The sequence below is a fragment of the Homo sapiens genome, chromosome 10, assembly GCF_000001405.40.
Source record: "Homo sapiens chromosome 10, GRCh38.p14 Primary Assembly".
Lineage (NCBI taxonomy): Eukaryota > Metazoa > Chordata > Mammalia > Primates > Hominidae > Homo > Homo sapiens.
Window position 1 is genome coordinate 98,176,917 of NC_000010.11, and position 27,157 is coordinate 98,204,073.

The following is a 27,157-nucleotide window of genomic DNA, read 5'->3' on the forward strand; positions in this document are numbered from 1 at the left end:
TTGAATTTTGTCAGATATTTTATGTACATCTATTGAGATAATCATGTATTTTATTTTTGTTAGTCTTTTGTTATGGCGAATTACATTTTGCCTGAACATTTTTTAAAATTAATTTATTAATTAATTTATTATACTTTAAGTTCTAGGGTACATGTGCACAATGTGTAGGTTTGTTACATATGTATACATGTGCTATGTTGGTTTGCTGCACCCATTAACTCATCATTTACATTAGGTATTTCTCCTAATGCTATCCCTCCCCCATCACCCCACCCCACAACAGGCCCCAGTGTGTGATGTTCCCCTTCCTGTGTCCAAGTGTTTTCATTGTTCAATTCCCACCTATGAGTGAGAACATAAGGTGTTTGGTTTTCTGTCCTTGGAATAGTTTGCTCAGAATGATGGTTTCCAGCTTTATCCACGTCCCTACAAAGGACATGAACTCATCCTTTCTTTTGGCTGCGTGGTATTCCATGGTGTATATGTGCCACATTTTCTTAATCCAGTCTATCATTGATGGACATTCGGGTTGGTTCCAAGTCTTTGCTATTGTGAATAGTGCCTCAATAAACATATGTATGCATGTGTCTTTATAGTAGCATGATTTATAATCCTTTGGGTATATTCCCAGGAATGGGATGGCTGGGTCAAATGGTATTTCTAGTTCTAGATCCTTGAGGAGTCGCCACACTGTCTTCCACAATGGTAGAACTAGTTTACGCTCCCACTAACAGTGTAGAAGTGTTCCTATTTCTCCACATCCTCTTCAGCACCTGTTGTTTCCTGACTTTTTAACGATCGCCATTCTAATTGGTGTGAGATGGTATCTCATTGTGGTTTTGATTTGCATTTTTCTGATCACCAGTGATGATGAGCATTTTTTCATGTGTCTATTGGCTGCATAAATGTCTTATTTTGAAAAGCATCTGTTCATATAATTTGCCCACTTTTTGATGGGGTTGTTTGATTTTTTCTTGTAAATTTGTTTAAGTTTTTTCTTGTAAATTTGTTTAAGTTCTTTGTAGATTCTGGATATTAGCCCTTTGTCAGATGAGTAGATTGCAAACATTTTCTCCCATTCTGTAGGTTGCCTGTTCACTCTGATGGTAGTTTCTTTTGCCGTGCAGAAGCTCTTTAGTTTAATTAGACCCCATTTGTCTATTTTGGCTTTCGTTTTTTATGTTTTAAATGCTTTTGGTGTTTTAGTCATGAAGTCCTTGCCCATGCCTGTGTCCTGAATGGTATTGCCTAGGTTTTTTTCTAGGGTTTTTATGGTTTTAGGTCTAACATTTAAGTCTTTAATCCATCTCGAATTAGTTTTTGTATAAGTTGTAAGGAAGGGATCCAGTTTCAGGTTTCTACATATGGCTAGCCAGTTTTCCCAGCACCCTTTATTAAATAGGGAATCCTTTCCCCATTTCTTGTTTTTGTCAGGTTTGTCAAAGATCAGAGGGTTGTAGATATTGGTATTATTTCTGAGGCCTCTGTTCTGTTCCATTGGTCTATATCTCTGTTTTGGTACCAGTACCATGCTGTTTTGGTTACTGTAGCCTTGTAGTATAGTTTGAAGTCAGGTAGTGTGATGCCTCCAGCTTTGTTCTTTTGGCTTAGGATTGTCTTGGCAATGCGGGCTCTTTTTTGGTTCCATATGAACTTTAAAGTAGTTTTTTTCCAATTCTGTGAAGAAAGTCATTGGTAGCTTGATGGGGATGGCATTGAATCTATAAATTACCTTGGGCAGTATGGCCATTTTCACGATACTGATTCTTCCTATTCATGAGCATGGAATGTTCTTCCATTTGTTTGTGTCCTTTTATTTCATTGAGCACTGGTTTGTAGTTGTCCTTGAAGAGGTCCTTCACATCCCTTGTAAGTTGGATTCCTAGATATTTTATTCTCTTAGTAGCAATTGTGAATGGGAGTTCACTCATGATTTGGCTCTCTGTTTGTCTGTTATTGGTGTGTAGGAATGCTTGTGATTTTTGCACATTGATTTTGTATCCTGAGGCTTCACTGAATTTGCTTATAAGCTTAAGGAGATTTTGGGCTGAGTTGATGGGGTTTTCTAAATATACAATCATGTCATCTGCATCAGGGACAATTTGACTTCCTCTTTTCCTAATTGAATACCCTTTATTTCTTTCTCTTGCCTAATTGCCCTGGCCAGAACTTCCAACAATTTGTTGAATAGGAGTGGTAAGAGAGGGCATCCCTGTCTTGTGCCAGTTTTCAAAGGGAATGCTTCCAGTTTTTGCCCATTCAGTATGATATTGGCTGTGGGTTTGTCATAAATAGCTCTCATTATTTTGAGATACATTCCATCAATACCTAGTTTATTGAGAGTTTTTAGCATGAAAGGTTGTTGAATTTTGTCGAAGGCCTTTTCTGCATCTATTGAGATAATCATGTGGTTTTTGTCTGTGGTTCTGTTTATGTGATGGATTACATTTATTGATTTATGTATGTTGAACCAGCCTTGCATCCCAGGGATGAAGCCAGCATGGTCTTGGTGGATAAGCTTTCTGATGTGCTGCTGGATTCGGTTTGCCGGGATTTTACTTAGGATTTTCGAATCAGTGTTCATCAGGGATATTGGTCTAAAATTCTCTTTTTTTGTTGTGTCTCTGCCAGGCTTTGGTATCAGGATGATGCTGGCCTCATAAAATGAGTTAGGGAGGATTCCCTCTTTTTCTATTGATTGGAATAGTGTCGGAAGGAATGGTACCAGCTCCCCTTTGTACCTCTGGTAGAATTCAGCTGTGAATCCTTTTGGTCCTGGACTTTTTTTAGTTGGTAGGCTATTAATTATTACCTCAATTTTGGAGCCTGTTACTGGTCTATTCAGGGATTCAAATTCTTCCTGGTTTTGTCTTGGGAGGGTGTATATGTCCAGGAATTTATCCATTTCTTCTAGATTTTCTAGTTTATTTGCGTATAGGTATTTGTAGTATTCTCTGATAGTAGTTTGTATTTCTGTGGGGATTGGTGGTGATATCCCATTTATCATTTTTTATTGCATCTATTTGATTCTTCTCTTCTTTATTAGTCTTGCTAGTGGTCTATCAATTTTGTTGACCTTTTCAAAAAACCAGCTCCTGGATTCATTGATTTTTTGAAGGGTTTTTGTGTCTCTATTTCCTTCAGTTTTGCTCTGATCTTAGTTATTTCTTGCCTGCTGCTAGCTTTTGAATGTGTTTGCTCTTGCTTCTCTAGTTCTTTTACTTGTTATGTTAGGGTGTCGATTTTAGATCTTTCCTGCTTTCTCTTGTGGGCATTTAGTGCTATAAATTTCCCTCTACACACTGCTTTAAATGTGTCCCAGAGATTCTGGTATGTTGTGTTTTTGTTCCCATTGGTTTCAAAGAACATCGTTATTTCTGCCTTAATTTCATTATTTATGAAATAACGTCATTCAGGAGCAGGTTGTTCAGTTTCCACATAGTTATGTGGTTTTGAGTGAGTTTCTTAATCCTGAGTTCTACTTTGATTGCACTATGGTCTGAGAGACAGTTTGTTGTGATTTCTGTTCTTTTTGATTTGCTGAGGAGTGCTTTACTTCCAACCACGTGGTCAGTTTTGGAATACGTGCCATGTGGTGCTGAGAAGAATGTATATTCCGTTGATTGATTTGGGGTGGAAAGTTCTGTAGATGTCTATTAGGTCTGCTTGGTGCAGGGCTGAGTTCAAGTCCTGGATATCCTTGTTAACCTTCTGTCTCGTTGATCTGTCTGATATTGACAGTGGGATGTTAAAGTCTCCCATTATTGTGTGGGAGTCTTGTAGGTCTCTAAGTACTTGCTTTATGAATCTGGGTGCTCCTGTATTGAGTTCATAGATATTTAGGATAGTTAGCTCTTCTTGTTGAATTGATCCCTTTACCATTATGTAATGGCCTTCTTTGTCTCTTTTGATCTTTGTTGGTTTAAAGTCTGTTTTATGAGACTAGGATTGCAACCCTTGCTTTTTTTTGCTTTCCATTTGCTTGGTAGATCTTCCTCAATCCCTTTATTTTAAGCCTATGTGTGTCTCCGCATGTGAGTTGGGTCTCCTGAATACAGCACACTGATGGGTCTTGACTCTTTATCCAATTTGCCAGTCTGTGTCTTTTAATTGGAGCATTTAGCCCATTTACATTTAAGGTTAATATTGTTATGTGTGAATTTGATCCTGTCGTTATGATGTTAGCTGGTTATTTTGCCTGTTAGTTGATGCAGTTTCTTCCTAGCATTGATGTTTTTGCTGTGGCTGGTACCGGTTGTTCCTTTCCATGTTTGGTGCTTCCTTTAGGAGCTCTTGTAAGGCAGGCCTGGTGGTGACAAAATCTCTCAGCATTTGCTTGTCTGTAAAGGATTTTATTTCTCCTTCACTTATGAAGCTGGATATGAAATTCTGGGTTGAAAATTCTTTTCTTTAAGAATGTTGAATATTGGACCCCACTCTCTTCTGGCTTGTAGATTTTCTGCCAAGAGATCTGTTAGTCTGATGGGCTTCCCTTTGTGGGTAATCCGACCTTTCTCTTGACTGCCCTTAACATTTTTTCCTTCATTTCAATCTTGGTGAATCTGACAATTATGTGTCTTGGGGTTGCTCTTCTTGAGGAGTATCTTTGTGGCGGTCTCTGTATTTCCTGAATTTGAATGTTGGCCTGCCTTGCTAGGTTGGGGAAGTTCTTCTGGATAATATCCTGAAGAGTGCTTCCAGCTTGGTTCCATTCTCCCCGTCACTTTCAGGTATACCACTCAAACGTAGATTTGGTCTTTTCACATAGTCCCATATTTCCTGGAGCCTTTGTTCATTTCTTTTTACTCGTTTTTCTCTAAACTTCTCTCTTCATTTCATAAATTTGATCTTCAATCACAGATACCCTTTATTCCAGTTGATCGAATCGGCTACTGAAGCTTGTGCATGAGTCACATAGTTCTTGTGCCATGGTTTTCAGCTCCATCAGGTCATTTAAGGTCTTCTCTATACTGTTTATTCTAGTTACATTTATCTAATCTTTTTTTCAAGATTTTTAGCTTCCTTGTGATGGGTTCAAACATCCTCCTTTAGCTCGGAGAAGTTTGTTACTACCGACCTTCTGAAGCCTACTTCTGTCAACTCGTCAAAGTCATTCTCCGTCCAGCTTTGTTCTGTTGCTGGCAAGGAGCTGTGATCCTTTCGAGGAGAAGCAGCGCTCTGGTTTTTAGAATTTTCAGCTTTTCTGCTCTGGTTTCTCCCCATCTTTGTGGTTTTATCTACCTCCGGTCTTTGATGTTGGTGACCTACAGATGGGGTTTTGGTGTGGATTTCCTTTTTGTTGATGTTGATGCTGATGTTATTCCTTTCTATTTGTTAGTTTTCCTTCTAACAGGTCACTCAGCTGCAGGTCTGTTGGAATTTGCTGGAGGTTCGCTCTGGACCCTGTTTGCCTGGGTATCACCATCGGAGGCTGCAGAATAGCAAATATTGCAGAACAGCAAATATTCCTGCCTGATCCTTCCTCTGGAAGCTTCATCTCAGAGGGGCACCTGGCTATATGAGGTGTCAGTCGGCCCCTCCTGGGAGGTGTCTCCCAGTTAGGCTACATGGGGGGTCAGGGACCCACTTGAGGAGGCAGTCTGTCCTTTCTCAGAGCTCAAACACCGTGCTCGGAGAACCACTGCTGTCTTCAGAGCTGTCAGACAGGAACGTTAAGTCTGCAGAAGTTTCTGCTGACTTTTGTTCAGCTATGCCCTGCCCCCAGAGGTGGAGTCTACAGAGGCCTGCAGGCCTCATTGAGCTGCGGTGGGCTCTACCCAGTTTGAACTTCCCGGCCGCTTTGTTTACCTCCTCAAGCCTCGGCAATGGTGGACGCCCCTCCCTGAGCCAGGCTGCTGCCTCGCAGTTCGATCTTGGACTGCTGTACTAGTGGTGAGCAAGGCTCCGTGGTTGTGGGACTTGCTGAGCCAGTCAAGGGATATAATCTCCTGGTGTGCCGTTTGCTAAGACCATTAGAAAAGTGCGGTATTTGGGTGGCAGTGTCCCGATTCTCCTTGTATAGTCTGTCATGGCTTCCCTTGGCTAGGAAAGGGAAATCCCCTGACCGCTTGCGCTTCCTGGGTAAGGTGATGCCCCACCCTGCTTCAGCTCACCCTCTGTCGGCTGCACCCACTGTCCAACCAGTCCCAATGAGATGAACCAGGTACCTCAGTTGGAAATGCAGAAATTACCCGTTTTCTGTGTCAGTCACACTGGGAGCAGCAGACTGGAGCTGTTCCTATTCGGCCGTCTTGGAATGGACCACAAGGCTGAACATTTTTTATTTCTTCTTCAATTTGAAATATATTTTCATGGATATAGATTTCTGCATTGACAGTTTTTTCTTTCAGCACTTTAGTGGTGTCTGACTTTCAAAATTTCTGAAAGTTCTTATCCTGTTCCACTGTATTGTGTCTTTTTTTTTTTTTTTTAAACTCTGGCAGCCTTCAAGGTTTTCTCTTTATCTTTGATTTTTTCCACCATCAGTTTGAATATAATGTGTCTAATTGTGGATTTTTGTTGTTGTTGTTGTTGTTGTTTGTTTATTTGATGCTGCCTAGTGTTCTCTGAGCTTTTTGGATTCTTTTGTATTAATTTTGAAAAATTTTGGTTATTATCTCTTCATATTTTGTTTCTGTCTTATTGTCTCTCTTTCTGGAATTCCAGTTACACATATGTTAGAGTATTTGATATTGTCCCATAGCACTTGGATGTTCTCTTCTCTGTTTTTCATTCTCTTGTCATGTTTTGTGGGAGTAGTTTCTGTTGATGTCTTTACTGATTCTGAGACTGTCTTGGTCTTCTGATAAGGTTGTTGAAAGCTTTCATCTCTGTTACTATATTTTTATTTCTAGCATTTCCGTTTGATTTCTTCTTACCGTTTCCATCCCTCTGCTTAAATTACACATCTGCGTATGCATATTATCTACATTTTTCGTTAGAGCATTTAACGTATAAATTCCGTGTTTGATAGTTCTAATATGATGGTTGTATCCGAATCTGGTTCTATTGTTTTGTTTTTTTTTCTTTGCTCCTTTTTCGGTTTTTTTTTTTTTTTGGTTGAAATCTGGACATTTTGTGTAGAGAGCCAGTTAAATGGTATTTATGCCTGGAAATGGACATGCTTTGTCTTTTCCTGAGACGTGTGTGTGTGTGTGTGGTGGGGAGGAATGTTGAGGGTTTTGTTATTGCTAGGTTACCTTTAATTTACCACAGGCTTAAAGTTTCTCTAGCATTACTTTGTGTTTAGGGTAGGATTTAGTTTGTCAGAGAGTTTTTCTTAATGTCTACCCTCAGCTTTAGGTCTTCCCTTTGAACTTGCATCTCAGAGAAGGTATTTCTCCATGCTTTAGCTCTTTGCTCACAAACAGTCATGCGCCACATAACAATGTTTTGGTCAACAGCAGACTGCATATATGATGATGGTCCCCTAAGATTATAATACCATATTTTAACTGTACCTTTCTATGTTTAGATAAACAAAATACTTACCATTGTGTTACAGTTGCCTACAGTATTCAGTACAGTAACATGCTGTACAGGTTTGTAGCCTAAGACCAATAATATACCATACTGTATAGCCTAGGTGTGTAACAGGCTATACTGTCTTTGTCTGTGTAAGTATACTCTGTCATGTTCTCACAATGAAATCACCTGACAATGCATTTCTTAGACCATATTCCTGTCATTACGTGACACATGACTGTAGTACATTGCTGTTACATGTTGTTTGAGGCTTGCTAGCCTGCATTTGATGGGAGATGGGGAGGACATTTTGTGTTGGATTTTTCCAGTCTCCATTTTAGCTAGGTGTTTCCATTTTCTCTGGGTCTCAAGTATGGGGCTTTTTCAGAGATCTTGCCCCTTCTTTAAGCAGGGTAGATTTTGTTTGCTTCCCCTAGCTGCAGGTCCACATTTGGCTTGTAGTAATTACAAAATTTTTTAACCAAGTTCTTATTGGCTTGTATGGTGTCTGGTGTTTACTATAGGTAAAGTAGTGCTCATGTCCCATCTCTCCCTTTAAAATCCTGTCTTTCCTTAGATTTTAGATCAATTACTTAGATTTAAGGTTACCTTACTTTTGTGCTGGGTTCAAGAAAATTTGTGATTTTGCACAACATCCATCTTTTACTTTGTTTTAATGGTGAAAATGACTTTCTAACTTTCTTCATCCTAAGCAGCACCTAGAAGTCCCATTTCTTTATTGAGGATGTCTATTGATACGGGATTTTTGATGGTTAAAGTATCTTTTAAATCTGTTCCTTTCAGTTTTTTCCTCCAAATTTGTATTTTTGTTTGTTCATTTATTCAATATAAAAAAGTCAAGTCTGTGCTATGTGTCTAGGCCCTGTGCTCAGTGTTGGGGGATATAGGGATGAGCAAGTACCCTTAATAATACTTTCTCTAATGAGCATATAGTTTAATGGGGAAGACCGGATAATTAAAGAGGTAATTATACTAAAGTAATGATAAGAGCTGTAGTAGGAGATGTATATGGAAGGAGGCACCCAGTCTTATCTAGAATGATTAGGTAAGGCTTCTCAGAGAAAGAACTGTGATGCAGACCTAAAGATTATGTAGGAATTAGGTTAAAGATGGCTGGGAGGCTGTAGGGAAGTAGAGTAGGTAGAAGGAAGAGATTATCCAGTAGCTAAGATGGAAAACAAACAAACCCACAGAACCAACATGAAGAGTTTGAGAATCTGAAAGAAGAGCCATGTGGCTATAAAGCATATGAAGACAGAAGTGACAGAAGGTAAGACTGGAGAAATTGGTTGGAGCCAGGTTAGAAAGAAGAGTCTTCTAAGCCATGTTAAGTTGATTTTATCATGAAAACAGTGGCAAGTCATTGAAAGACTTTAGGGAGGGTGACATCTGACTAGCTAATGGTTTTGAAAAAGTCATTTTGGATGGAAGGTGAAGAGTGAATGCAAAGAAGCAAAGCAGTTACCAAGACTAGTTAGATAGGTTACCTCAGTAATCCAGGCATTTGTATGTGTTGTTTTAACTTGGAGTAGTAGCATTAGAGATAGGGACAACCAGGCAAATTAAAGAGATACTCAAATGTGAAGATCAGTGGAACTTTTCCATTGGTTGAATACAGAGAGTGAGGAAGAGGGAAGACTTGGGATGTATCCAGTAAAAATCTTGGTATGTTTCTGTAGAACCTCCAAGTTTCCTTCCTTCTTTCCAGAGGGAGAGTAGAAGAAAGGACCCTTGGTTTACTTTCATAATTATCGTTTATGTATGGCCCAAAATTCATTGAGGCCGTGGAGGTAAGTCAGAAAAAGAGAAAAGGAAAAAATATCTAAGTAATATGTAAGTCATGGTAAATGAACTTCTCTTGCCTGATTGTCTTTGAGTGTTGAGAAAAACAGGACAGTTTGGTTCCTTCGGTTTTGATGTTTGGCTTATTGGTATATAAACAAAAAATCTGCAAACCTTGCTCTTTTGGAACAAAAATAGCATACAATTGATCTTCTCAAATAGCTGTTCCATGTAGAGAGACATTTAACTATATTTAATCATATAATTTCCTTGTTTTTTCCAGATGGTTTTACTCAGCATTTGGTGTGGTGGATCTTACATAAACCTTTAGAACTTACATTAGAGTGTTCAAGTCTTCTGAGACTCCAGAGTCACCTAAGGTAGTGACCATTGCCACTAACAGTTGTGACAAGTTTTATACACAACATTGCTGTGGGTGCCAATAATGTTTTTCATGGCAGTGGAGGGGCAAAGTATAGTTTTCAGAAAAAGGATGTTAGTGATAAACAGCTCTCATATGATTCAAGATTTCAGTGCTTAAGGTGGGAAAGTAGGCGTGAAGCTTATGAAGGCCATCAGTTTTCCTTCTCAGAATGATGTAGTTAAAAGCAAGTATGGTGTATTATTACAATGTTAGAGTTAGGCAGTCATGATTTAGAAATTTTTTGCTTTTTTGGGGGTGTACTGTGGGATAGAGTTGTGAGTAGCTAAATAGCTCAGGTATTAGTCAAAGCTGGGTGTGCATTCTGGTTTCTGTACTTAGTAAGTACAGATGTACAACCTTGAGTCTTCATTTATTTGTCTGTAAAATGGTGATAATAATTATATACACCTTGAAGAGTTGTTACAAAGGTTAAGTGAGATGATGTATACAAGCACTTAACCCAGTGCTTCATTCATTGACTTATTTGGTAGGGTACAAGTTTAAATTATATTGCCATGTACAGTTTGTTAAATCCAACATACTACAGATTGAGTAGCCCTTATCTGGACTGCTTGGGACCAGAAGTGTTTTTGATTTTGATTTTTTTTTTTGAATATTTGCATTATATTTAACAGTTGAGAATCCCTAACCTGAAAATCTGAAATCTGAAATGCTCCAGTGTTCATTTCCTTTGAGTGTCATGTCGGTGCTCAGAATGTTTTGGACTTTGGAGCATTTTGGATTGCAGATTTTCACATTAGGGCATATCAGCCATGTAAGGTTTTTATAATCTAAGAAACAGTCATAATCATAGGTCTCTTAATCATTTCTCATAATTGGATTATGTTTACATATTTCCCATCTGTAAAAAGGGCTAGTAATGTAAAAATACAGAGTATCAATTCTTTGATGGTGGCAGGAAATTATGGTTTACAAGAATGAAGTAGGTTTTTTGGATGGGGAGCTTAAGTCTGGCTCCGGTTTAATTTTGCTGTTATCATTAGTTTGCACATAAGGTCTCTTTCTATAAATAGATATGTATCATATATACAAATTGAGAAAGGTTTGCTTTAGTAGGAAAATAGCTAGTGAGTTGAGTCAAACAGATAAGATGTAACAATTCTTTTTTTTTTTTTTTTTTTTTTAAGAGATAAGGTCTTGTTCTGTTCTCCAGGATGGAGTGCATTGGTCTGGTCTTAGTTCACTGTAACCTCAAACTCCTGGGCTTAGGTGATCCTCCTACCTCAGCCTCCTAAGTAGGTAGGGCTACAGATGTGCACCACCATGCCCAGCTAATTAAAAAACAATTTTTTTTTGTACATATAGAGTCTCGCTATGTTGCCTAGGCTGGTCTCGAACTCCTGGACTTAAGTGATCCTCCCATCTTGGCCTCCCAGAAGTCCTGGGGTTATAGGCAGGACCCATTATACTTGGCCAAAGGAATTCTTAATGTTGTTCAAGAATACACATACCTTTTACACACACACACACACAATCTCAAATTAAGGAGAAACATCTGAATTGATACTGCTTTGTGCCAGGCACATTTGCTTTTGTGCTCATTTATTTAACAAACATCTTATTGAATGCTGTATGTGCCAGGAATGGTGCTGGGTATTGAGAAACTAAAAATGATAAGGTATTTCTTGCTTTCAAGGAGTTGTAGGTATGATTGTTAGTCAGACAAGCTTACAGTTTGGTATGGCAGTAGAGAGCGCAGAATACCCAGCCCGCATTTACTCAAGGAATATTTATTGAAAGCTAAAATATACAAGTATTCAGTAGGCATTCAGAGATCATTTAGAACTACATCTCAAAAGGAACAGCCCTAAGTCATCCTTGACAAGTAAGTCTTCAAATGGCAATGGAGACTCCTGTGTTTGGATCCATTATAGGATAGGCTCAGTGTAATGCTAAATAAGGCTAGACTGTAGAAAACTTCCTTATCAGCTTTGTTGAACTGGTGTTCCTTTGGCTTTTCATTTCTGTGCCTCAGTTATGTCTTTCAGAGTAGCTTTTGGAGAGGTTAAAGAAGGCAATTGGGGCTTCTCATCTCCTAACATTAAGTAATTGATATAGTTATTTATGTATTTTTTCCTATAAGATTGTTAAAGATATTTAAGTGGGGAGTACTAACCACACTGATATAGTCATATTGCCATAGGCATTTATGAGCACAGACATTGGTCTCAGAGTATCTAGATTAGGATCTAGATAATCCTCTGCCATATTCTAGTCCTTTGGCCTTGGTGGACACAATTTAACACCCTTGTTGCCTCGGTTTTATCATTGGTAGAATTGGACTAGTAATAATTCTACTTCATAGGGTTGTTGGGAGAATCAAATGAAATGTTACTATTTTGAACATAAAATAGTCAAGTGAGTTGTCAGGTGAGCAAATAAGATCTGATAAGTGGCCAAAATAAATATAAAGTTCATGTATTGAAGTTCATATATTTTGCTCAATTAGGAAGCACCTCAGATCCTTACTTAGAGGGCTTTTATTGTTACTTTGTATGTAATTTGGACACTCTGGAATTTGCATTGCCCTTTAGGTTGAGAGAAATAGAAATGCCTAGAGTAGCAATAAGTGACAGATGGTGAAGAGAAAGAAACAATAAAAATCAGGTACTCTACTAAAACAAAAAATAGTGATCTGGAGGTTGTAGTACAGCTGTGCATTGCATATGGGGTGAGGACAGCATTTCACAATGAAGAAGGCCTTGAGGCATCACCTTATACATGGCGCAGTTTGGCAGTTTGAACAGAACTGTTTGACTTCTCATTCTGCTTTTTACTAGTGATTCTGTTTCTTGCATGCCTTTTAGTAAGGTCTATCTATGTAAGGTCTCTCAGTGAGTGTCTACCTGGGTTAAAAGCTTATTTCTCTTTAGTTCAGATATGTTAAAGAGAAGACCTATAGAGTAATTTCTTTCACTATAGACTTTAATTTTAGAAATTATTGTCTTATTCTTTTAAATTGTAATATATATTTTGTATAACCTGGTTTGAATAGAAGTAAAAATGAATCTCCAAGCAGATACAGGAATTATTTTGTGTTTTCAAGTGTGAAATATATCATTGTATTATAATAACTAGTGCAAGTGCATTTACGGAAGGATGCATTAAGAAAACTACAGCAGAATCAGTTGTGGTTCATTAGCAGATTTTATAGTTTTTAAAATATGAAGCCATTTCTCTGCTGTCCAAGTATAATTTTTTATGTTATTATATCACACACAAGTGCCTCTGTGCTGTGTTTGTGTTGAATCTCTTTTAAGTGAAGCGCCTGTGCAGGAGAAGGACATTTCTTGATTTCTTATTTGCAAATGCAGTTGACCCTTAGTATCCCTGGAGAATTGGTTCCAAGACTTTCCTTGGATACCACAATTTGAGGATGTTCAAGTCTCTGATATAAAACGGCAGTATTTGTATATAACCTATGTACATCCTCCTTTTTACTTTATATCATCTCTAGATTACTTATACCTAATACAATATAAATGCTAGGTAAATATTTGTTAGACTTCATTGTTAGGGAATAATAACGAGGAAAATCTGTGCATGTTCAGTACAGACACAATTTTTTTAACTGAATATTTCCATCTCTGGGTTGGTTGAATCCATAGACCCATGGATATGGAGGGCCAGTTGTACTGTACTTGTGATTGACATTGAAAGTGGGAAGACCTTGAAAGTGTGGAAAGGATTGGGTATATTTTTTATTTTATTATTTTATTATTCTAATTTTATTCTGTCAAAGAATCTTCCAATTTTTTACTCATGTTTTCTCTTTTACCTTGCTCTACAACCAGAATTACAAATTATTTGAAACAGAAAATATTTTCTATGCCTGTTGTATACTTTTCTGACATTGAATATGCTGTTTAGAATAGTATTTCAAAACTTTTATTCAAGTGAAATCAACTTAGTGAATAAATAGATCTTAAATTGTAAGAATTTTAAAAGCCTTAAATTGTAAAAAGTGAAGAAGAATTCTAGATTAAAAGTAATAGTAGTGCATATATTAAGGGTAAGTATTTTATGGACTTTTTTATTATTATACTTTAAGTTCTACAGTACATGTGCACAACCTGCACGTTTGATACATAGGTATGCATGTGCCATGTTGGTTTGCTTCACCCATCAAATTATCATTTACATTAGGTATTTCACCTAATGCTATCCCTCCCCCAGTCCCCCACCCCCCGACAGGCCCCAGTGTGTGATGTTCACTGCCATGTGTCCAAGTGATCTCATTGTTCAGTTCCTACCTATGAGTGAGAACATGTGGTGTTTGGTTTTCTGTCCTTGTGATAGTTTGCTGAGAATGATGGTTTCCACCTTCATCCATGTCCCTGCAAAGGACATGAACTCATCCTTTTTTTCGGCTGCATAGTATTCCATGGTGTATATGTGCCACATGTCCTTAATCCAGTTTATCATTGATGGACATTTGGGTTGGTTCCAAGTCTTCGCTATTGTGAATAGTGCCGCATTAAACATATGTGTGTGTGTGTCTTTATAGTAGCATGATTTATAATCCTTTGGGTATGTACCCAGTAATGGGATCACTGGGTGAAATGGTAATTCTAGTTCTAGATCCTTGAGGAATTGCCACACTGTCTTCCACAATGGTTGAACCAATTTACACTCCCACCAACAGTGTAAAAGCATTCCTATTTCTCCACATCCTCTCCAGCATCTGTTGTTTTCTGACTTTTTAATGATTGCCATTCTAACTGGCGTGAGATGGTATCTCATCATGGTTTTGATTTGCGTTTCTCTGATGACCAGTGAAGATGAGCATTTTTTCATGTGTCTGTTGGCTGCATAGATGTCTTCTTTTGAGAAGTGTCTGTTCATATCCTTTGCCCGCTTTTGATGGGGCTGTTTGTTTTTTTCTTGTAAATTTGTTTAAGTTCTTTGTAGATTCTGGATATTAGCCCTTTGTCAGATGAGTAGATTGCAAAAATTTTCTCCCATTCTGCAGGTTGCCTGTGCACTCTGATGGTAGTTTCTTTGCTGTGCAGAAGCTCTTTAGTTTAATCAGATCCCATTTGTCAATTTTGGCTTTTGTTGCCATTGCTTTTGGTGTTTAATCATGAAGTCCTTGCCCGTGCATATGTCCTGAATGGTATTGCCTAGGTTTTCTCCTAGGGTTTTTATGGTTTTAGGTCTAACATTTAAGTCTTTAATCCATCTTGAATCAATTTTTGTATAAGGTGTAAGGTAAGGATGGAGTCTCACTCTGTTGCCCAGGCTGGAGTGCAGTGGCGTGATCTCGGCTCACTGTAACCTCTGCCTCGCGGGTTCAAGCAATTCTTCTACTTCAGCCTTCCAAGTAGCTGGGATTACAGGCACCCGCCACCACGCCTGGCTAATTTTTGTACCTTCAGTAGAGATGGGGCTTCACCATGTTGGCCAGGCTGGTCATGAACTCCTGACCTCAGGTGATCCACCCGCCTCAGCCTCCCAAAGTGCTGGGATTATAGGTGTGAGCCACTGTACCCAGCCTGGACTTTTTTTTTAAGTCACATATGTGTATGAGTCTGTTTACTGTGTTATTATATGAAATGCTTTTCTTACTGTGGAATGCAGGAAAAAAATTGGAAAAACTGGCTTAGGAACCTATGCTTTTAGGTAAGTCTTATAAAGCTTTAAAAAAAAAGGTCTTGGAAATAATATAGAGCAGAAATAAACAAAATAGAAAATAGGAAAATAATAGAAAAAAGTAAAGAAACTAAATAGTTTGGCATTTTGAAAAGATCATAAGATCAATAAAATTGACAAACCCTTAGCTAGGCTAAGGAAAAAGAGAATAGACTCAACTGAAGTCAGAAATGAAAAAGGAGACATTGCAACTGATGCCACAGAAATACAAAGGATCATTAAGTGACTATTATAAACAATTATACGCCAACATATTGGCTAACCTGAAAGAAACTGATAGATTTCTAGAAACATAACAAGACTGAATAATGAAGAAATAGAAAATCTGAGCAGACCCATAAGCAGTAAGGAAATTCAATTAGTAAGCAAAAATCTCCTAGCAAAGAAAAGCCCAGGACCACATGGCTTCATTGGGGAATTCTACCAAACATTTAAAGGAGAATTGATACCAATTCTTCTTAAACTCTTCCAAAAAATGGAAGAGGAAGGAACACTTCCAGACTCATTTAATGAGGTCAGTATTACCCTGATACCAAAGCCAGAGATACTATAAGAAAACTACAGGCCAGTATCTCTGATGAATATTGTAAAAATCTTCCACAAAATACTAGCAAGATGAATTCAATAAGACATTAAAAGGATCTTACACCATGACCAAGTGGAATTTATCTCTGGGATGCAAGGATGGCTCAACATATGAAAATCAATAAATATAGAATATATACAATATTAACAACTGAGGACAAAAATCACATCATTTCAACTGATTCAGTAAAAGTACTGACAAAACATAATACCTTTTTATGATAAAAACACTCAACAACCTAGGAATAGAAGGAAATTATCTCAACATAATAAAGGTAATATGTGAAAAACTCACAGCTAACATAATCATTAGTGAAAAATGAAGTTTTTCCTCTAAGATCAGGAACAAGGCAAGAATGCCCACTCATCACTTTCTTCAACATTGTAATAGAAATCCTAGCTAGAGCAGTTAGACGAGAAAAAGAAATAAAAAGCATCCAAATTGGAAAGGAGGAAGTAAGATTATCCCTAATCACAGATGACTTGGTTTTACGTGTACAAAACCAAAAAAAATAAAAAATAAAAAAAACTGTAAGAACTGTTAAACCAATTCAGCCAAGTTGCAGGATACAAAATCAACTCTCCAAAATCACTTGTGTTTCTGTGCACTAACAATTAAGGAAATAAAGAAAATCTCATTTACAGTAACATCACAAAGAATAAAATGCATAAGAGTAAACTTAATCGAGGGGAGAAGGACATACATTGAAAACTATAAAACATTGCTGAAAGAAATTAAAGATACAAAAATATGGAAAGACATAAATTGGTATTATTATGCTGAAACTAAAGCCAGACAAATACTACTGGTTGAGCATCTCTACTCCAAAAATCCAAAATTCAGAATGCTTCAATGAGCATTTCCCTTGAGTATGACCTTTGAGCACTGTCAGCACACAAAAAGTTTTGGATTTTGGAGCATTTTGGATTTAGGATTCTTGTACTAGGGCTGCTCAATCTGTACAAGAAGACCAATATTCCTGATAAATATTGATGCAATACTGTTGTGGATTGGAAGACTTAATATTGTTAAAATGTCCATACTGTCCAGTCTACAGAGTCAGAACAATCTCTGTCAAAATCCTTACAGCGTTTTTTGCAGAAACAGATAAAACCATCCTAAAATTCATATGGAATCTCAAAGGAGCCCAAATAGCCAAAGCAGTCTTGAGAAAGAAGAACAAAGCTGGAGGCCTCACACTTCCTGATTCCATAGTATATTACAAAGCTATAGTGATCAAAACAGTATGGTGTTAGCATACAAGCAGACATATAGACCAGTAGCACAGACTAGAGAGCCCAGAAATAAACCCACGTATAGTCAAATGATCTTTGATGAGCATACCAAGACTACACAATGGAAAAAAGGATAGTTTCTTCAATAAATCGTGTTGGGAAAACTGGATATCCACATGCAAAAGAATGAGGTGTACCATATACAAAATTTAATTAAAAATGGATTAAATATAAGAACTGAGAACCTAGAAAAAAACAGGGGAAAAGCTTCTTGATATTGGAATTAGCAGTGGTTTCTTGCATATGACATCAAAAGCACAAGTAACAAAAACAGCAAAAACATGTACATCCAACTTAAAAAACTAAAAATGTAAAAAACATACATCCAACTTAAAAGTCTTCTATACAGCAAATAAACAGTTGTCAGAGTGTAAACACAGCCTGAGGAATAGGAGAAGATATTTGTAAACCATATATTAGACTAGGGGTTAATATTGGGAATATATAAAGAACTTGACAACTCAGTAACAAATAATCTGAATAAAAAATGAGCAGAACCCAAATAAAGATTTCTCCCAAGAAGATACGTGCATGGCCAGCAGGCATGTGAAAAGATGTTCTACACAACTAATCATTAGGGAGATGCAAATAAAAACCACAGTAAGATATTATCTCACACCTAAGATGGCCGCCATCAAAGAAGAAACAGAAAATAACAAGTGTTGACAAGGATGTAGAGGAATTGGAACCCTTGCACACTGTTGGTGGGATTGTACAATGGCACAGCTCCTATGGAAAACATATGGAAATTCTTCCTAAAACTAAAAATAGAACTATCATATAAGCCAGCAGTCCCACTACTGGGTATATATTCCGAGGGAATGAGATTAGATGTTAAAGAGACATCTGCACTCCCATGTTCAGTGCAGCATTATTCACAGTAATCAAGATGTGGAAGCAACGTTAAGTGTTCATCAGTGGATGAATGGATAAAGAAAATATGGCATGTACCTACAACAGAATATCATCCAACCTTATGAGGAAGAAATTCCTGTCATGCTGCCTCATGGTTGAACCTTCAGGACATTTTGCTAAGTGAAATAACCCAATCACAAAAAGTTGAATACTTGCATAATTTCACTAATATGAGGTATCTAAAGGAATTAAACTCATAGAAACAGAAACTAGAATGGTGGTTGCCAAGGAAATGAGGAATTGTTCAGTGAGTGTAGAGTTTCAGTCATGTCAGATGAGAAAGTTTAGTGATCTGTCATACAACAATATGCATATAGTTAAAATACTGTGCTATACACTTGAGAATTGTGAAGAGGTAAATTTATGTTCTTTTTTTTTTTTTTACTACAGAAAATGCACAAAACGTCTATAAGCATACAAAACAAAATGTTACAGTGGTTTTCTCTGGAAGGAGAATACAGATTTTTAGTTTTTGCTTTTAGGTTTATTGTAAAGTCCTTTTGTATTAAAATACACACAAAAAAAAACTCTTTGTTAGCTATTAAAACTTTTCCTAAAAGTAGATTGTACCTTCCATTGTAGACCTTTGAGCCATCTATTATTTTTAAAACTGTACCTTGTTAAACCCCGTCTTTTTTTACTTGGATACCTCATTCTTCAAGTAGCCTGTAGTGGCCAAGAAAAATAACTTTGTATCTAGTTTTGTCATCAGAACACTGAGCACTGTATAAAAATTCATCGATAAATATTAGCTGCTATATCCATAAAGTCAGCCAGTATTCCAAAGCTGTATACTGACTATTGCTAAAGAAGCAGAGTTTATTTAAATATGTGTTCCTTAGACTGAATTCAAATGACTGGAGAACTGATTTTGTACAGGCTTTAATACTGAACTTTGCTAAGTCAAGAATAGCTTTTAAGGAAGATTTTGAATATGTGACATTTATTTATGTATAAATACTGAGTCTCAAGGTGCTTTGTCATGTGGTGAATAGAGGAGTGCAAAATATTATATTCTACTTAGTACTACCCTTGCATTTCTAATAAAGGTATGACAAAGCAGGTATTGTTAGAATTTCTATTCTCATAGTTGCTCACTTTTTGTTCCAGGATTTAAAAATTATTTATCTATGCCTTTATTACAGTTAACCCATTCATCTCCCATTTACATCATCAGTTTTTACCTTCCTATTGGATTAGTCTTCCTCCCCTCATACTTGCTTCCTAGACTGTTCCAGTGGGATATTTATCTCCCCAATTCCATGAAGCCATTCCAGTGTTAACGACAACCCCATCTTGCTAAATCCAGTGGAAATTCTCAGTTCGTCCTACTTGACCTTCCAACAGCATTTATCTTATTTTATTTGTATTTATTTATTTATTTGAGATAGGGTTGAAACCTCAACCTGCTGGGTTCAAGTTTTCCTCCAACTCAGCCTCCTGAGTAGCTGGGACTATAAGGCGTGTGCTACCATGTCCAACTAATTTTTGTATTTTTTGTAGAGAAAGGGTTTCTCCTCTCTTCTTTCACATCCCATACAATCAGTCCATAAAGTTTTGTTAGCTTTGCTTTCAGATTCTATGATTAATCTGACCACTTCTTATGACCTCTGCTACCACCCTAGACGTGCTGCAATAACTTCCTAACAGGTTTCCTTCCTTCTACTCTTGTCCCCCTGTACTTACATATTAGCTAGAATGATCTTTAGCAAAAGTAAGTCAGATCATGTTGAAACCTTCCAATAATTCCCCAGCACTCTGAAAATAAAATCCGAAGCTCTTGCCATAACCTACCAGCCACTACTAATTCTGGCCCTTAGCTGTCTTACTGACTTCTCCGCCCCTTCTTTTTTTTCTTGAGACAGGGTCTTACTCTGTCACCCAGGCTGGAGTGCAGTGGCACAATCTCAGTTCACTGCAGCCTCCACCTCCCAGGTTCAAGTGATTCTCCTACTTCAGCCTCCCAGGTTCAAGTGATTTCTCCTACCTCAGCGTCCCAAGTAGCTGGGATTACAGGCGTGTGCCACCATGCCTGGCTATTTTTGGTATTTTTAGTAGAGCAGAGGTTTCACCATGTTGGCCTGGCTGGCCTTGAACTCCTGACCTCGGATTACAGATGCAAGCCACCATGCCCCCCCCTCCACCCCTTCCTATTCTGCTGATACCACACTTGTTTTCCTGTTACTTCTTGTCCGTGCCAAAATTGTCCTGCCTCAGAGTTTTTGCACGTGTTCATTCTTTTTCCTGGATTTCTCTTTTCCCTGATAATTTATGTGTCTCTCTGACTCGATTTAAACATCAGCTCAGGTGTTAACTCCTCAGTGTGGTCTTCCTCACTTTACAACATGGTCTTCCTTGTATTTTCATCTCTGCTCCATTTTACTCTGTAGCCTTATACATTATAGGATGTGTTTAAATGTTTGTTGATTGATTGATTGTCTTCACCAGTAAGTTCCATGAGGCCAGGAGCTTTGTTCATTACTGTGTTCCCAATGCCTAAGATGGGACTTGGCACACAGTAGTTAATAAATATTTGTGGAATGAATGAATATTTAGTGATATAAATAAATGATATTTATTTAGTAACAAATGCAGTGCAATGGCATTGTAGATACAAAGACAAAAAGAAACTAACTCTACACTGAAGAAGAGAGGCAGATGTGCAAACAAGTAACTATAAAGCAGTATGATAATTGCTTTAATGAAAGTGTATGTATGTAAAGGTGTATGTATAGTGGAAACTTACAGGAAGGACCTTAGACTATCAAGGAGAGTCATAATGAAGTTATAGAAAAGGTAACCTTTTCTATATAGTAATGAAGTTATAGAAAAGGAAGTTTTGAGGGTGGTAATGGAGCTAAATTATGTAGGATTGTATTTGTTATGCAAAAAAGCTTGTGTGTGAAAAACCACTGAAGAATTTTGAACTGGGAAATGAAGAGGAGAATCTGATTGGTCTTTTAGAAAGTCACTGGAAGCAGTGTAGAGGTGGGTGAATAGGACTTGGTAAATGATTGAAATATCAGGGATAGTGACTTCCCGGGTTTTGGCTTGAACAAATGGGCTGACAGTGATACTGTTCACCAAACTATGAAGTTAGGGAGAGGAGAGCAGTGAATTTTTTTTTTAAGAGGATGGCTAGAATTTAAAAGTGTATAATTATCTTAGTGCCCAGAAATCTTATGATTTGCTTGTATCACTTAATATAATTTTTAATACTACACTAAATTACAAACATACTAAATTTGTCTGTAAGGTACTTCCATGCCTTTACAAATGGACATATACACTGCTGAATGGCAGGACTAGGACATCTCTTAGTTTTGCCAGTTTGCAAGTAGACCAATGAGAAGAAAGAATACTCTTGATAGTGTAGTGAAACCAAGGAAGTTATTTTTTTAATATGCAAAGAAATGATTTGAAATTAGGGCCTTCCACAGTTTCAAACATAATAAAAAGCCTTCGTTTTCAGGAAAAAAAAAAAAGTTGGGAAAAATGCTTCTAAATTTGTTGGAGCTGACTTTTGCCTCTCAGATTGTTATCTAATTGGTTTTGTTTTCTGATTTATGGAACATGAATAGACTTTACTTCTTTGGATCCTTTAAAAAAATCATTATGAACTAAAGTGTTTGTATGCAGATAAGCTTATCTGTACATTCATGGTTTAGTTGATTTCTTGATTTGGTGTGTTCCCATGCTGCTGAAGCCAACAAAACAGAAGGAGAAAAGCAGATTATATTTGTCCTGTGGCATTAGGGATATGGCAAGATCTTAGACCAGTGCTAACCCATTAGAATTATTTAATGTGGACCACAAATGTGAACCACATATGTAATTCTAAATTCTCTAGAAGCTACTTTAAAAACTACAAAAATAAACAAATGAAGTTAATTTTAATGTTTTATTTAATGCAGTATATTCAAAATAGTATCATTTCAACATATAATCAGTATAAAAATAATGGACATTTTGCATTTTTTTGTATGAAGTCTTTGAAATCCAAATGTATTTTATATGCACAGCACATCTCAGTTTAGACTAACTACACTTCAAGTGCTTGATAGCTACTTGTGACTAATTGGACAGTATAGTCCTAGATCATTCTTAAACTAAAGAGTAGAGGTTGCTCAGCATTCTGCAGCATTTGAGAGTATCTTTCCAACATCGAGTAATTTATGTGCTGCTTGTTTCATTTTCCTGTCAAGTATATTAAAGAGTTTCTTTTGTCCTCTCATCATTTTCTTGCTTACAGTAATTTTGTCCAATAAATATCTGCTTATCAATATTCATTGCCTTTGCTTTCTCTTACATGTTTATAGTAATGTCCTATTATGCTAAAACAATAGCGTATCTTTAAATTTTAGTGATTTTTTTTTTAATTACAAGAATACTGCCTGTTCTTTTTGTAACAAATTTAAACAATACTGTGGCATATGTTGTATAAAAAGATGATAATTCTTTATAATTCTTTTTCCTGTTTCAGTTCCTGCTCTCCCAGTTGTAATCAGTGTTAGCAGTTTAGATAATAGCTTTTTTTTTCCTCATTAGGAATATACACTTAAGAGAAATTCTTGCTAATTGAGAAAATTAGTATTTGGAAAATACCTCTTAAAAGTAAACCTATTAAAAATGGAGACAAGATTTATTAGTTATTAATGAAAACGACTTGTTAGGGACAGTATTCAGAAATGAAAACATTTTACTATATGTATATCATTTTTCTATATGTTTAACAAAATTTAAATTGTAACTGCAGCTGTGCTAATTCTCAGAATCAACAAAGAATGATGTGATATCTTCCTGGCATAATTTTTCCAGTAGAATTGTATAATAGTCTGATAGCATCCTTCATTTTGTGTTTCATTTATCTAGCATTTGTTATATAAAATAGACTTGTGTATCAGTCTTATCAAAACTCTTGAGGGTTTCACCAGTTTCTCAAGATATTTTCTTAACCCTTTCTCAATTCTTATTCTATCATCGTCCTTCTTTAGTTGTTGAGTGAATTGTTCTATCTTTAGTTGTTGAGTGGTTTGATTCTGCCAGAATCAAAGGATGTTGCTGTGAGATGAGCATTTTCTTTAATATTATTTTCATAGACTTCATGAAATCCTGCATTCTTTTGAGGGTTTGTATTTTCACATTACTACTGAGTTGCATTGTATTTACTTCGTGTGATTGAGTATTTACAGCAATAGGCTATTAGTGAGAAATTGATAAACAAAACCAGGATACATGGTTGCAATAGGTGTTAGTGTCTAGTAGAAACAGATATCAGGGGACATTATGAATACTAGTGTATCATAAGGGCCTTGACTCCGTCTGCAAACTTGTAACTTAAGGGATTCAATGTCCATTTAAGTAATAATAGCTGACTTTTATGGAGACTTTTACCATGCCTGGCAAATTTCTGTACATGCATATTTTTAGGTAATCTGCTCAGTGTGCCTATAAGTCTGTTATTATCCCCATTTTATGCATTAAGTAAACTAAGGCTTAGAGCAATAACTTTTGTAGTATAGAATCTGGCCCATTGAAGACTTATAAAATAGACTTCCGTCGGCACTGCTCAACACAAAAGGAAGAAAGCACAAATAAATAATATTAAGCACAAAAAAGGGGACATATAGCAGAGCTAAAGCAACAACAAGAACTTACTGTGAATAACTTTTATATCAAATTTGAAAAGCTAGGTCAAAGGCAGATTTTCTAGAAGAAGAAAGAGAAACTAGAATAGACCTTTAACATTAAAGAAAATGAATGATTTTTAAACATCTTCACCAAAAAGTATGAGTCCCAGACAGTGCTGCCAAGGAATTCTACCAACAGTAAGCCCACCCAGCCTTATTTTATAAATCTTTAACTTACATAGTGTGTCTTGCAGTAACCTTGGTAACCCAATCATATAACTCCCAGTACTGGGAGGGAAAATCGTAGACCAGTCTCATTTGAATATACACACAAAACCTTCAATATTGACAAGCCAAATGAACAGCTAGGCATTTGTCCTGACATTGAATGTTCCATATTTTTCCATTGATTTGGAGTGCCACGTTTATTATAAAATGAATTCCATATAGATGTGGATCCATTTTAGGGGGGTTTACTTGTGTGCTTAATCTGTCATCTTGAATTAAAAGCCTGTCTGTTGAATCTTAACATTCAAGATATTTGCATTGGCATTTAAATGTATGAGAATTGTAATGGTCTGGTAGTGGTCTGGTAGTGAATGCTTTATATAAATATCTTTCTGTTGCATAGTTTTTTGCATATCATTTGAAGAGGATGCCAGGATTAGAACTCAATATACTGAATACCTCACTTAAGACATTTTATAATTCCAAAGAATATATTGTCATTCAAACATATTTAAGTTGATAAAACTTAAAGATATTATTCAGAAAATAGATTTGAAATGAATATACTGTCTAAGTATTTTCCACAAAAATATTTTCCTTCCGTACCCTCCCATGTGCCTTGCCTCCTTCTCAAGGGAATTGGAGATGACTTTATAAAGGGACAGGGAAACAAATATTATCAGACACCTGAGATGCATTAGTCATTGCATTTGAACACCAAACTTAATTCTGTATTTTCTAGAAAAGAAAGCAGAATGAGACACATGTTATGCTATGTCTGGTAAAGGAACTATATGACTTTGTCAGAGAGACAGCTTTCTTTCCTTTGTTTTATAAGTGAGACACTGGAAAAATGATAGTTGCCTTCAGCCTTGATTTTGCAAAAGTTAGGAAATGTTTTTTGGATGGATATTTTCTTTATTGACCAATGACTATGAAAGATGAGATTTTTTTTTTTTTTTTTTTTAAAGAGACGGGGTCTCACTACCTTGCCCAAGCTGGAGTGTAGTGGTTGTTCATCCACAGGCACAGTCATAGCACACTGCAGCCTTGAACTCGTGGCCTCAAGCTGTCCTCCCACCTCAGCCTTCCAAGAGCTCGGATTACAGGCGCATGCCTCTGGCTGAGATTTTAACATTAAATTTTAATTTAGGGAATCTTAGCGTCTCTAGTGAGCTAAGATAAATGATTTACTTTTGCTTTCAGAAAAATTCCAAGGCCTGACTGGTAAAATATGCAGGGACCCCTCAAGTTGGAAAATCATCTGTTTTGCAACCATCACAGTAAAGATGGAATCAGAGAAGAATAAACAAATTTAGGATGCTACCTGGTTTTGATGAGGAAGCAGAAAATTTGCATGCTTTTAAAGTGCTACCCCACACACCGCTTATTAATTGCAAGGGAGAAAATACATAGTAATTATACAGTAGAAAAATTGGACAATACTGGGACTGGATGATCAAAGTTAAGAGCATCACTGAAGGACAGGTGGAAATCATGTGCCTCAAGATGTGATGCCCTGAGGACACATCACCACCATGAAGTGTTCTGGCTGAAAATGTGTAACCTCAGTCTCATCACGGGAAGACATCAGACAAACCTTACATAAGGAGCATTCTCTTAAAAAATAGAGTGGGGGCCGGGCGCGGTGGCTCACGCTTGTAATCCCAGCACTTTGGGAGCCTGAGGCGGGCGGAACACAAGGTCAGGAGTTTGAGACCAGCCTGGCCAATATGGTGAAACCCTGTCTCTACTAAAATTATAAAAATGAGCCAGGCATGGTGGCAGTCGCCTGTAGTCCCAGCTACTCACTTGGGAGACTGAGGCAGGAGAATCACTTGAACCTGCGAGGCGGAGGTTACAGTGAGCTGAGATTGTGCCACTGCACTCCAGCCTGGGTGACAGAGTAAGACTCCGTCACAGGAAAAAAAAAAAAAATAGAGTGGGGAGGGGAGCTGTTCTCCCAAAATGTCAGTGTCATAAATGACAGCTTTCACTGTGGAGGTGTTCTAGAATGTCGGAGGCTTAAGACACCTGGCAGTTAAAGGCACTACCTGACCCTAACTGGATCCTGTATGGAAAGGGAAATATTCTATAAAGGACATTACAGGATCGCTTGACAAAACTGGATTACTTATGTTAAATGAAAGTATTATATTAGTGTTAAATATGCTGACTTTGATAACTGTATTATGGCTGCATAAGAGAATATCCCTATTTATAGGAAATACATTATACTTTGAAGTATTTAGGGCAAAGGGCCATGATGTCTGTAATTTGCCCTCAAAAATATTCAGGAAAAAAACTGCATGTGTGTGTATGTGTATGTAAAGAGAGGAAGAGGAGGAGGAATATATGCATGATTCCAAATGATAAATGAGGTGAAATATTAACCATAGGTGAATATGGGTAAACAGTATAAGGGTACCATTTGTATTATTTTTACTTTTGTAACATCTATAGGTATGAAATTATTCCCAAATAAAATGTTAAGACAATATATATAGTTTAGCTATGGTGCATTCTGATGAACTAACAAATACAGAATTTGTTCTAGAAGAATGAATAGTATGCTCATTAGGCAGTTTCTCTCAAATATCAGATGTCTCATGTGAGTCTTTGGTAAATACTGGATTAAATCAATTCATGGTTGAATTACCCAGTGAGTGCCTTAAGTGCCAATACTCAGTTGTTGATTGAAGAGGGATCCATATGTTTTAGATACCAAATATGGGACAAAAAGCGTTGATGTTCTGTTGTGAAAATATGAAAGCCCAATTTATTGTGTGCTTGTTCAATTTCTCATGAAGATGAATCAGAGAGGTACTTAAAGGAAGTTACCAATATTTTCTCTCAGGGAGCCGTGGAAACTGTAGAAGTAATTGGACAGGTGCTCAGGTATGATCCCAGTGTTCAACAGTATAACAGAAAAAAATGATTTGGCCTAAAATATTTTAAAGGCATGTGTTAGCAATTGACTGACCTCCATTATGAAGGAATCTGAATTTTTATCCCCTTTAGAAAGTGTGATTTTTGAACAGAGTGCATGCTGATGGTCCTTCAAGCATAAATTAGCTGCAAAATGCACCCCAAATAATGGATTCTGTCCAGTTAAGAAGCAAATTAGATGGATAAAAAG

At 36.9% G+C, this 27,157-nt stretch overlaps 1 protein-coding gene across 49 annotated transcripts in view; it reads left to right on the forward strand.

Annotated features, from left to right (window-relative positions):
* The window catches only part of R3HCC1L (R3H domain and coiled-coil containing 1 like), a 110,241-nt gene that overhangs the window by 42,260 nt on the left and 40,824 nt on the right, over positions 1–27,157 (forward strand). For 25 of the 49 annotated variants that reach the window (XR_007061959.1, XM_047425065.1, XM_047425071.1 and 22 more), the window contains one exon: positions 9,551–9,647. The exons of the other annotated variants lie outside the window; for them this stretch is intronic. The gene's annotated coding sequence lies outside the window, so the exon portion shown is untranslated. The remainder of the gene's footprint in view (positions 1–9,550; positions 9,648–27,157) is intronic. 49 annotated transcript variants of the gene reach the window in all.